At 39.6% G+C, this 13833-nt stretch overlaps 1 long non-coding RNA gene across 1 annotated transcript; it reads left to right on the forward strand.

Annotated features, from left to right (window-relative positions):
- The first annotated feature begins 4614 nt into the window (after positions 1-4614).
- FAM74A1 (family with sequence similarity 74 member A1) lies at positions 4615-10466 on the forward strand. Its single transcript, NR_026803.2, has 2 exons — positions 4615-5160; positions 10390-10466. It is a non-coding gene; the product is annotated as a family with sequence similarity 74 member A1 (long non-coding RNA).
- The last annotated feature ends 3367 nt before the right edge of the window (positions 10467-13833 follow it).

Consider the following 13833-nt stretch of genomic DNA (forward strand, 5'->3'; position numbering starts at 1 on the left):
TTCTTAATAATATTATTTTATTCCTTAAAATGCAGTAATGCCCTCAAATAGTAGTATGACACATGTTTGTCAGACATGACTTAGTCCTAATGTTCCACAAACATAGCTTAAGCAGATGGGCAATTTAAAAGGATTTATTTTTTAAACAGTTCTATGAAACACGCATTCTCTAAGATGGGCAGTAGGGATCCATTTTATATTCATTACAGGGCTAAAAAAGGAATGTTTTGAAATCTTACAAAACAAATTAATCTATGCTTGAGATATATACATAGCCTAATAAAATGTATTGAGGAAGGGACACGTTAACATTTGAGTGGAAGAAGGTATACATTTAATCAGCATTTGTACAATAAAAATGAATTATGAATGGCCTCACTAATTATATACGCAGCACTTTCCAAAGGGTGCACTCTGGTAAGACTACTTACTTCTCATTGCTCATAAGCAAACTGTTGTCCTTGCCTTGGTAAAATCTATTTTAACAATAGCTGTTAAAGCATATCACTAGATTATCCAACGGGATGACAGGGTCACAGTCTTTTCTCTAAGAGAGGCATAGCTGACATCAAGGCTCTTTTAGCCTATTTGTTTCAACAAGAAATCCCCTTTCTATATTCATCATAATTAAAAAATTTTAACTTAATTTTTCCACTTCCTTATAATGTCACTGCATCGTAAAATAATGGAATCGACATGGATCTTCAGATTATACATATGCATATATATATAGTTTTGTTTTTGTTGTTTTTTTTTTTTTTTTTTTGAGACAGAGTCTTGCTCTGTCACCCAGGCTGGAGTGCAGTGGCGTGATCTTGGCTCACTGCAAGCTCAGCCTCCTGGGTTCACACCGTTCTCCTGCCTCAGCCTCCTGAATAGCTGGGACTACAGGCGCCAGCAACCATGACTGGCTAATTTTTTTGTATTTTTTTTTTTTAGTAGAGAGAGGGTTTCACTGTGTTAGCCCGGATGGTCTGGATCTCTTGACCACGTGATCCACCCTCCTCGGCCTCCCAAAGTGCTGGGATTACAGGCATGGGCCACCGCGCTTGGCCTATAGTTTTTTTCAACAGCGCAACTTAAATAAGTTTAGTTATCAGAACAAAATAGAGTCAATTAGAAAAAAAAATTCATACAGAAAAATATACTTTTCAAGTTGACTGTTTTAACAGAGTTAAAATAAGTGATTATACTTCAGTCATTTGATTTGAATTTGCTCAGAGTGGCCAGAAAATCTAGAAACATAGAAAATGTCCATACTAAATAGTTGATTGCTATGACACGTTGAATGTGCTGTTCCTCAATAGTAATTCATAGTTCAGTAATCTACACAAAATTGCAATGAACAATGTGCATTAAAGCAACATTTCCATCAATCAGTGTATATTCATCTGCCATATATTGCCTCAGATGATTTGAGTGTCTAATTTCACAGAATAAATTTGAGCCTTTACCCCAGAAGAAATAATCAACGGGGCTCAATCTATTAAAAAGATATTGACAATATTTCCAGGCTCTATTAACATCTATATTTTATTTTTAATTAGATTCACCTAATTCAAAGCTTGTAAATATTTTTACCATTTATATGTGCCCAGATGAAATGGATATCAATAATTAGATAATGGAGAAAACAACAAACACAGATCTTCTTTGTTGTTAAAATATTTTACGTCAGAGCACTTTGCTAGAAATAAAGTAATTTTTAATCTCCAGGCAAAAGACTGTCTAAATGACTTTCAGAATGTATTACAAATTTAGATTTAGAATAGATTTATGTTTAAAACAGGCCTCATACTGCTTTCAACAAATCGGGCACTACAGAACAGAATGTGGGGAGGGTGACAGTGATGTGATGACTTCTTAACACTGAGCAAAGAAGCAAAAAACAAGTTGTCTTTCTACAATGTTGATCCCTAAGAGTGATTTCCCTTTATAGATTGCAATATAATTCTAGTTGCATTGTTATTATTTTACAAAGAACTCCCACAGAAAAAACTTTCTGGAGGTTTTCCCCTATATACACACCTACATTCTCTGCCATGCTCACACCGTTGGCAAAGTATGGTGCATCCAGCCACAGACCACCAAGGGGCTTGATAATTGCCTCCTCCATATACCTTCTGAGGTCGGTCAGGTTTATAACCATTCGTGTAACACAATTCATCCTTATAACTGGGCCTATGGCCTTGTGGCTTGTCACCTTTTCCAAGCAGGTGCTTGTCATCTTGGTTGCTCAGAGGTTTGCTGTGGCATCTTCCCTCACCTGAGGCCGGGCTGGCCTCCACCATGTTGCAACCAGAAGAGCCCACTTCCGTGGGGACAGAGCTTCTGTGCTCTCCACAGCCACGTCACGCTGCCGCTGTGCAAATGATGCCAACTGTAAATCCCAGAAAACTGCAAAATAATGCTGCGCCAGGCACAGTTGGTGAGGATTTAGAGGATGCTAACGTCTTTCCTAAGAAACGTGGGTGACATCGGCCAGGCACGGTGGCTCACGCCTGTAATCTCAGCACCTTGGGAGGTCGAGGCGGGCAGATCACGAGATCAGGGGATCGAGACCATCCTGGCTAACACGGTGAAACCCCCTCTCTACTAAAAATACAAAAAAATTAGCCGGACATGGTGGGGGCGCCTGTGGTCCCAGCTACTCGGGAGCCTGAGGCAGGAGAATGACGTGACCCCAGGAGGCGGAGCTGGCAGTGAGCCGAGATCGCGCCACTGCACTCCAGCCTGGGAGACAGAGCGAGACTGCGAGACTCTGTTTCAAAAAAAAAGAAGAAAAAGAAAGAAAGAAAGAAAAGTGGGTGACATCACTCTGGTTCTAATCATTTTCGTGCTTCAGCTGCCCCCACTGGATCAGTGTTTCTGGTGAAACGCAATCAGTTTTCGGAGGGCCTCACCCTCCTTCACTGTAATGATGTTTGCAGTTCTTTCTTTCTCCTCTATGCCGAAAATCCAGAATTACCACCCCCTGTTCCCCATGGTTCACAATCTCAAACACGTTTCTCCAGTGACCACTTCAATTCACACAGCCATCCCTCAGTTCAAATATTGCCTTTGAACATCATGAGCAAGACCACGGCTCTTTGTATTTCTGCCACAGTTTCACACCAGTTACAGATTATATACATTCTTCACGTCAATAAGTTTATTTTGTAGAGTGTGGTTTCTGGAGTCAGATGAACTCTCCACCTACTAGGTCTGTTACTTGGGCAAGTCATTTCTTGCCTAGATTTACCAATTTGTTAGAGTTATATTACTTTACTCCAAAAGATTTTATTCTGTGAATTACATTGCTTTTCTTATTTTTTAAAAATTGTAAATCTAGGGATTTAGGCTTGGTTGTTTTTTTAAATATCAGTACTTATCTAAACAAATATTTGAAAATTTTTCTTTTTTCTTTACGTATATTAGAAATCTGGCCAGGCACGGTGGCTCATGCCTGTAATCCCAGCACTTTGGGAGGCCAAGGTGGGCGGATCACCTGAGGTCAGCAGTTTGAGACCAGCCTGGCCAACATGGCAAAACCCCGTCTCTACTAAAAATACAAAAAAATTAGCCGGGCGTGATGGCAGGCACCTGTGATCCCAGCAACTTGGGAGGCTGAGGCAGGAGAATCACTTGAACTGAGGAGGCAGAGGTTGCAGTGAGCTGAGATTGTGCCACTGCACTCCCGCCTGGGCAACAGAGTGAGACCCCATCTCAAAAATAAAAAACAAAGAAAGAAATCTGTTAACAGCCTTGCTATGAAGACATTTTTGTCTGTTTCTTTTACTTTGTGTACTTATTTAATATTAAAACCTGTATTATTGCTCAGCAAAGAGGAGAATAGTTTCCTTGAAGGAAAAAAAACATCCTTAAGAACTTACTAGTTTAAAGCTGAGCATCTTAGATTTGAAGGTTGCCTTACCTTTTTAAAGATTTTTTTTATGAGTTGATAGAAAGTCCTAAAATCTTAGGAACAGAAACAATTGAGAATTACAAGTCAAATCATTGAAATGGAGCCATCTGACAGTTTATGTGTTCTGCTGTGCCAGTAGTGAGTGGGAACAGTTTCTATGTGGGAATATAATCAGGGTCCTGACTACCCCTAAAGGAGCTCTTTCTTGTTTGGTGTGAAGCCAATACACCAAACCGAGAGTGAGTATCAAACAGTGTGGGCTTTTTTCAATGGCCATGGAATTGCAGAAGTGGGAGCATAGCCTGCAAATCAACTTCTCAGAGCCTGAGAACTGAGGATTCTTAATGAAGGGGCTGGGTATACAGAGGAAAGGGAGAAATATTCATAGCTTTTCTTGGGAAGGGAGGTAGGTTTTTTTGGAATCAAAGAGCCACCTCTTTTCTGCCTGTTTTTGGTCTCTTCTGGCCATTGTCATGGTGATTGTCAACTGTCAAGGTGCCAGTGGGAGTGTCATTTAGCATGGAAATTGGATCATAATGAAGCTAGAGGTTTTTCAGAGGTCAAGCTGCCATTGCGGATTTTGCCAGCTTCAGCCAGTTTAGTCCTAAGAAGGAACTTCTGACCCCAGACATCCTGTTTTCTAAAACTAAGCAGTTAAAGCTGAATGGGAATTTAGCTCTGTCACATAGGCATTTGTTGGGCAACAAAAGCAGGGTAGGGCTCCAGCTAAGCCACGTAGGCACTACGATGGGCAACAGAAAGGTTGGTTTCTGGGCAATTCAGAGAAACCAAGGACAGCTACCCCCAGAACTCAGAGTAGCCAACTGGGCTGCTCACAGGAGATGCCTTAACTGAAAGGTGATCAGACTCCACAGGAGACCCAGAGAAGATGTGGAGGGAGCTCAGAGGCTGTCCTGGAGGAGACGTGGAGACAGCTCAGAGGCTGTCCCAGAGAAGACGTGGAAAGAGCTCAGAGGCTGTCCCAGAGAAGACGTGGAGAGCTCAGAGGATGTCCCAGAGAAGACGTGGAGAGAGTTCAGAGGCTGTCCCGGAGAAGACGTGGAAAGAGCTCAGAAACTCAGAGACTGTCCCGGAGAAGACATGGAAACAGCTCAGACGCTGTCTGCAAGAAGATGTGGAGAGAGTTCAGAGGCTGTCGTTACTGCTGCACTTGGCTGTTTTTCTTTGGATAATTATTGCAATCAATTTTAGTAATTCAGGTGTTAAATCACAGTCAAGCACCTATTTACCTAGTGGTGAGTTCCTTTATGTTGTGAGTTCAATGTCATTTGTGGGGACTGTGGTCCAGGGAGGTGTTGGGAGGATGAAGTTTTTTCTGAGTGACTTTGCAAACATAAAAAGTCATCTAATAAAGATGCTAGAAAAGCAAATATCCTAACTTCCTAGTCAGAAAAATGTCCAACACCATGTTTATTTAAGAATTTTTCACAAAAAAAAACAGTGGTGGGAGAAAATTACACATCTGGGCCCAGCAAGTAAGACTTTCCCTTCACAATTGTGCTGTGGGATCCCAGGCCTCGGGGGGCTACTGCCGTCACCGTCCCCAGGCTGTGGGCCCCTTTGTCAGCTGCTCTTCTGAAGGCAGGTCTCCTGTCCATGCCTTCCCCTTTGCTGTCCGGATGGAGATTGGAGACGCAGCATCATATACAGCTGACAGGTGTTAACCTTATTAGCTAATTCTGTTTCACGGGACACGATTTATACACTCCATGGAAATGCTTCTCACTGCCTTTTTTTACCACTTCAAGGTAGAAGTAGGTAATAGTGCTAAAGTCATCTTACTAGAATAACAAAGTCCATGGTTTGTTGTCCCTAAAAATATTTGTATTAGTTTACTAGGGCTGCCATAACAAAATACCACAGACTGAGTGGCTTAAGTAACATAAATTTCTTTCTTTCTTTCTTTCTTTCTTTGTTTATTTATTATTATTATACTTTAAGTTTTAGGGTACATGTGCACAATGTGCAGGTTAGTTACATATGTATACCTGTGCCATGCTGGTATGCTGCACCCACTAACTCGTCATCTAGCATTAGGTATATCTCCCAATGCTATCCCTCCCCCCTCCCCCCACCCCACAACAGTCCCCAGAGTGTGATGTTCCCCTTCCTGTGTCCATGTGTTCTCATTGTTCAATTCCCACCTATGAGTGAGAATATGCGGTGTTTGGTTTTTTGTTCTTGCGATAGTTTACTGAGAATGATGATTTCCAATTTCATCCATGTCCCTACAAAGGACATGAACTCATCATTTTTAAGAAAATGTGGCACATATACACCATGGAATACTATGCAGCCATAAAAAATTTCTTTTCTCACAGTTTTGGAGGCTGGAAGTCCAAGGTCAAGGAATCAGCACATTTGGTCTCTTCTGAGGCCTCTCTCTTTCCCTTGCCAATGGCCACCTTCTTACTGTGTCCTCACATGATTGTCCTGTGGTCTGTGTGTGGTCTCTGTCCACATCTCCTTGTCTTACAAGGAAATCAGTCTTACTGATTAGGGCCCACCCATATAACCTAATTTTACCTCAATTACCTCTTTATAGGTCCTCTTTCCAAATACAGCCCCATTCTGAGGTACTAGAGGTGAGGACTTCAACATAAATTTGAGGCAACACAATTCTGTCCATGACAATTGTCCACCTTAGTTTTATGGTGAACCAAGGCTGTGAAAAAGACTTGACTTGGGGCCGGGCATGGTGGCTCACGCCTGTAATCCCTACACTTTAGGAGGCCAAGGTGGGTGCATAACCCAAGGTCAGGAGTTCAAGACCAGCCTGGCCAACATGATGAAACCCCATCTCTACTAAAAATACAAAAAGAATGAGCTGGGCTTGGTGGCGGGTGCCTGTAATCCCAGCTACTCAGGTGGCTGAGATGGGAGAATTGCTTGAACCCGGGAAGCGAAGGTTGCAGTGAGCCGAGACTGCACCACTGCACTCAAGCCTGGACAACAAGAGCGAAATTCTGTCTAAAAAAAAAAAAAAAAAAAAAAGACTTGACTGAAGGCAGTGACCTAAGAGTGAAGCGATAACAGCTGGCAAATGTTCTGCAAGAAGGTGCAAAGCCCCTGCAGGCCTGGGAAGGTGCAGAGCCTGCACCTCAGATTTGACTCCTCTCATAGAATCATGGAATTTAAGTGAACCTCTTCCAGTATTAGGGAATCTTGAATGGAAACTCTAATATCTTAATCCCCAGTGTAACAAACTTTTACTACATTGTTCTCATGATGACAAATGTCTCATCAGAAAATGGCTTAAAAGTATAATTTTTATGAAAGCAGACTGGCTTATTTAAAACAAACATAATCTGAAAACTGTAATCCAAAAAGTAGACATCCATATATATATATATATATTCATTCATTCTCTTTGCTTTGAAACTTTCACTGAATGACCTTTGCCCATTTTATCGGTCACCATATTTTAGTGGTGCTGTGCAGTGACTTTTGTAGAGTAATATCTCTCAAAGTGTGCAATGATCAATATTGTGTTGTCAAAAGATTCTGTAGTCAAAGAAGTTTGGAAAACTTTAATTTTTTGATTAAGCAAAGCAAGAAGTCTGAGTTTCATTTATTGGTTTACTATGAAAAGTGTTAGAGGCTTTATGATGTGCAAGAAGGACATGTGTCATAATATTTCTCAAACCTATTTGACTTCCAATACTTGCTTTTTTGTTTTTTCTTCTTTTGTGGAGAAATTTCAAAAACTTTGGAAAATACTTTTTAAGTGAGATTCAGGAGTTTGATAAGCAAGATGACAAATACTAAAAATATACACTCCAAATATAGACACAATGAATACTAAATAAACTCACTGTTTTTAGTCAACATTATTCAAGGATATCCAAAGTTTTTCATGGCATAAAATGCTCTTTTTCTTTTCAGTAATATGATACATGTGATATTCCTGGAAACTTAAAAAAAAAAATCATCATTTATGTGCTCTCTTGTCAGTTTCATGCTGTATTTTTGATGTAGAAGAAAGAATTTGGTATCTTCTCAGGAATACATTGTCACATAAAAATATGTAAACTCCTTCAGATAAATTCTCACCTTCTGCAGAATGAGTCAAACAGCAGGGGGAGAAGCTGAATCTAGTGTTCGCAGTGAGTGACCTGTCTTCCTCAACACTGTCATCTCATCCATTGTCTTGGATGCTCAAGAAACGGAACTATATAAATGTGGCTTCTGGCCTTCATATATTACAGTGCCAAAGCTTCAAAGAACCAGTTTTTATTTAATACTTACTTTGTTTCTTTGCATTTTTTTTCAAAAATACAATATGTTGTTATTAACTATAGTGACCATGTTGTGCGGTAGATCTCTTCTTGAATATTTCCCCTCTCCTAAATGAAATTTTGAATCCTTTGATAAACATCCCCACTCCCCACCCCAAGTCCAGCTCCTGGTAACCACCAGTCTACTCTCTACTTCTATGAGTTCAGCTTTTTCAGATTCGACATAAAAGTGAAATCATATGGTCTTTCTGTGCCTGGCTTGTTTCATTTAACATAATGTCCTCCAGGTTCATCCACGTTGTCACAAATAATAAGATTTCATTATTTTTTATGGCTGAATAGTATTTCATTGTGTATATATACTACTTTTTAAAATTCATTCATCCACTGATGGACACTTACATTGTTTCCACATCTTGGGCTAATATATAAATAAGATTTAATGTATATGGTGTTGCAGATATCTCTTCGACATACGGATTTCATTTCCTTTGGATATATACCCAGTAGTGGGATTGCTGGTTCATATGGTAGTTCATTTTTAATTTTTGAAGGAACCTCCATGCTATTTTCCATGATGCCTTTCCTTCAAGTCTTCTCCAACACTTGTTATATTTTGTCATTTTATAATAACCATCCTAACACGTATGGGGTGATATCTCAAAGTGTTTTTAATTTGCCTTTCTCTAATGATTAGTAATATTGAGCATTTTTTATATGCCTGTTGGCCTGTATGTCTTCTTTTGAAAAATGTCTATTTGGATCATTTGTCCATTTCTTATTGAGTTATTTTTGGTTGTCTCTTCACTCTGCTAGCACCTATTTTGTATAAGACAATAATGCTCTTACATTTTCAAAATATACAGAAGATAAAAAACATATAGTAAGTATGATACTTGAATTGTAGTGAGACATTTAAAATTTTCCAGGAAACAATTACTGTGTTTTATGGTTATAAGGAAGAAACATGTACATCATTTTGGGGAAGAAAAAGAGAAATTATGGAGTGATAAGTTTAAATTGAGAAAATACCAACAAATACAATATACGAGAGAGGCTCTAGGCATTTCATTTACAAAAATATTGTCCAGTTTTTGTATGTGTGATGTGTGCTTGTTCCCTCTTTCCATATCTATCTCTGTCTGTCTTTCTGCTATGGTTTGAATGTATCCTCCAAAAGTTCGTAGATTGGAAACTTAATCCCTCTTCTCTCATGAATAGATTTATGTCAGTCCTGCCCTCATGAATGGATTAATGTCACTAGCATAGTAGTGGGTTCCTTATCATAAGCCCTTTTGCTCTTGCTCTCTCACTATGTGATGCCCCCTGCCATGTTGTTAGGCAGCAAGAAGGCCTTCTCCAGAGGCCAGCATCATGCTCTTGGCATTCCTAGGCCTCAGAGCTAAATACATTTATTTTCTTTATAAATCACTCAGTCTGTGGTATTCTGTTATAGCAACAAAAATATTAAGACACTCTTCCTATTTCCCCTACTCTCCTTCCTCCAGCCTCTTTCTTACACACAAAATGTTACTGAAATACCAGGAGTTCAATCTAGGTTCTGTTACTTGCACACAGAAAGCCAATCACTGAGACAATGAATATTGCCAAGGAAGAAGGCTTTAATTGCATGCTACAGCTAAGGATATGGGATATCAGTCTCAATTCCATCTCCTCAACCAGCCGAAATTAGGGGATTATATAGCAAGGAAGAAATGTAACTATGAGCAGGAAAACAGGAACTAGGGAGGGCTAAGGAAGCAATCATGACAAATAAGGAATCTGGCATCTGGCATCTCATTGTCTCGACACAGTGGTCTGATGAATTTCACTTCTTTGATACTTTTTGAGAGAGCTGAGAGTCCATTTCCTGAGGAAGAAACTCAGAGAAAACAAATGTAAGTTTCAAGCTTCAAGACCAGAAGGATTTGTTTCTATGTTTATATTTTTAAAATCTGTCTGTGGATCTATTGGGTGCATTTCAAAAACACATACAGAGGAAATCCCAGGCGCTGTGCTAGAATTGGGAATACAATGGTGAGTTCAAAGAGGAATAATTTTCCTATTCTCATGAAGCTAATAGTATAGGATAGAGAAAGCAAACACTAATCAAAGAACCACACAAGCATAAGATTGCAACTACAACTAAAAACCATAACCATTCAGTTAAGCTAAGGAGGCCACCATTGTCACCCTTCTCTTAACCTTTAATAATGTATTTTACAGGTAAAATCCTTAAGTAAGTCATATTTGGTTGGGAAGATCAAAGAAATCACCCAGTCTCCCACATCCGAAATTGTGCAGTCTGGACTGTCAGGAACAAAAGTGAAAGAGAGACGTCATCAAGGCCGGGCGCGGTGGCTCATGCCTGTAATCCCAGCACTTTGGAAGGCCAAGGAGGGCGGATCATGAGGTCAGGAGTTCAAGACCAGCCTGGCCAATATGGTGAAACCCTGTCTGTCTCTACTAAAAATACAAAAATTAGCCAGGCGTGGTGGCAGGCGCCTGTAATCCCAGCTACTTGGGAGGCTGAGGCAGAAGAATCACTTGAACCTGAGAGGCAGAGGTTGCAATAAGCCAAGATTGTGCCATTGCACTCCAGCCTGGGAGACAAAGCGAGACTCCATCTCAAAAAAAAAAAAAAAAAAAAAAAGAATGACTAAAATTAAGAAGATTGATGATTCCAAATATTAGTAAAGATGTAGAACAACTAGAACTCCCACATATTGCTGATGAAAATGAAGAATAATACATTACTTTGGAAAATACTTTGGTACTGATTTACCATATGACCCCAAAATCTCACTTGTAGAAATTTATACAGGAAAAATGAAAACATATGCTCACAGAAAGCTTGTATACACATGCTTATGGCAATAAATTTATTTATAGTTGCCTACCAACAAGTGATGAACAAATATATTTTAGTATCTTGATACTACTTTCTAGCTAGAAAAGGAATACTACTAAGCAAAAATAGAGGATGAAGTAGTAATATACATAACATAGATGAATTTAAAAACACCATGCTGATTGAAAGAAAACAATTATCAAATACACAGTGTAATATTCTATTCACAGAAAGTTTGAAAACAAAAAACTATAGTCTCTGAAAGAAAACCATTGGTTGCAGGAAGGTGGGGATTCATTGGCCACAAAAGGGACTGAGGAAACTTTTTATGGGTAATGGAAATATTTTATATCTTGATTGTGGCACCAATTATACAACTGTATGTACACATTTGTCAAAATTCTAATTGTATTATACACAACATGAGTGACTTTAACTGTCTATAAATTATATCTCAATAAAATTGGTCTTAAAAGATATATATATACACACACATAATTTAATATGTATTTTATATATATATATATCTCTCTCTCGACAATGGAGTGAAATGTACTCTTTTTTTTTTTTTTGAGACGGAGTCTCACTCTGTTGCCCAGGCTGGAGTGCAGTGGCGTGATCTCAGCTCACTGCAAGCTCCCAGGTTCACGCCATTCTCCTGCCTCAGCCTCCTGAGTAACTGGGACTACAGGCGCCCACCATCACGCCCAGCTAATTTTGTTTTTGTATTTTTAGTAGAGATGGGGTTTCCCCATGTTAGCCAGGATGGTCTTGATCTCCTGACCTCGTGATCGCCTGCCTCAGCTTCCCAAAGTGCTGGGATTACAGGTGTGAGCCACCACTCCCGGCCTGTGAAGTGTATTCTTATGGTTAAATTGTCACTTAGCAAACATCCAGAATGCTAAATATCCATATTATTTCTCTTGTTTTGCCTTTCTCTCACTTTTTCTACAAGCACCATTTTGAAGAAAGCCTCATCAACTTTATTAATTATATTTGTGATCATTTGAAGACACAGAAAATTTTCTTCTGCAAAATATAAAGTCTTCTTTCTTCTGCTCTCGTGATCCTTTTATTCTTTTGCCAAGTGATGTACATTAATTGATCAACTGACTTATGCATGCATTTACTTTTTCACAGATCTTTGTTATGCCTCTACTAGTTCTATGCTAGGGATATGGTATGACATTGAACAGGATCAATATGGTCCCTGCTTTCACAGAGCCCACACCTAATGTGTGGATAGTCAGAACACAGTTACACAAACACAAGTGGGAAATAATTATAACATCTGATAGATCTGAAGTCAGTAGAAAAGGTATTGAAATGGAGAAATAGAAAGGGGCCTCGCTTTGATAATGAAATCAGAGACAGTTTCCCTGCAACTTCCTTGGAGGGCAAAAGCCATGACCTTTCCTTCTCCTACCCCACCACTGACCCCAATAAAATACCAAGCACAGAATTTTCACTCAATAAATTACCTTAAAATGGATTTCAAAATATTTATAAAGCACATTTGTGTCCATTAAAGTATGAAAGGACATGTATTTGGAGCATAAAACCCAGCACATGATGGAAACATCACATAAATGAGGATCAAGAATCTAATTATGTAATGGGAAAATTTAAAAGAAATGTCAAGCTGGATAGAGTGTATTCTAAGAAAATGAATACATGTATAATAGCTAAATATTTGGCATTTGAGTTTCGGATGAAAAAAATAGATGTAAAAGAAACAGTTTCCTTAATTAAGAATTTAATTTTGTGGGGCCGGGTGCGGTGGCTCACACCTGTAATCCCAGCACTTTGGGAGGCCGAGGCGGGCACATCACGAAGTCAGGAGATTGAGACCATCCTGGCTAACATGGTGAAACCCCGTCTCTACTAAAAAATACTAAAAATTAGCCAGGCGTGGTGGGGGGCACCTGTAGTCCCAGCTACTTGGGAGGCTGAGGCAGGAGAATGGTGTGAACCTGGGAGGCAGAGCTTGCAGTGAGCCGAGATCACACCACTACACTCCAGTCTGGGTGACAGAGCAAGACTCCGTCTCAAAAAAAAAAAAAAATTAATTTTGTCCTTTGGAAGGAGAGAAAGAAAAGGCAGTTCACCTAGACCATCACTTGCCTTTTTTAGTTGCAGCAAATGCCAGTTTTTAACCGGATATGTTTGCAATGTGTGAGTTCTTCTCCAAGTGCTAGCTAGGATGAGCTTCCATACACCGCACCCCCAGCTGTGGTAATGCTTTACTCATAGCCTGTCTCTCATCCATCTGCCTGAATTCCTGCAGAACACAGTTGGACCAGCAGCTCATATTTAATCCTCTCATATGATATTAACACCACTGGTCTCCATTTTTGATTTACATCTTAAAGCCTCCAGGCTGTAATTGTTTTACCACTGTATTTCATTATTTAACATCCACTACTTTTATGGAAAAAAATGTGTTTACTCCTGTATCTCATCTTAATGTTTCACTAACTGCTAAACTCACATTTTTTGTTCATTTGCATTGTTTCGAGAATCTAGATTGTATTTGTCTTTGGAAACAGTCACAGCCACTTCCAGAGGTCATTTCCCATAGACCCCAAACTTCTCTTCTCCCAGCCTTGGAGGTGCTGGGTTCTAGAAGGAGGAGGCAGTGAGTCCAGAAGCCCAGCCATATCAGGATGACATCTACCATGCATCAGTCCTCGTGTGTCTTCAGCGCCTCTTTCACATGTCTGTGTCCTTAGAGCTTGCTGGAACCATCTTTGCTTGTCTCTGTGTATTCTGAGTCTGTGACTATTTGGCTCTAGGAGTCTTCTCAACAAAGTACAATT

This window comes from Homo sapiens, chromosome 9, assembly GCF_000001405.40.
Source record: "Homo sapiens chromosome 9, GRCh38.p14 Primary Assembly".
Taxonomy (NCBI): Eukaryota; Metazoa; Chordata; class Mammalia; order Primates; family Hominidae; genus Homo; species Homo sapiens.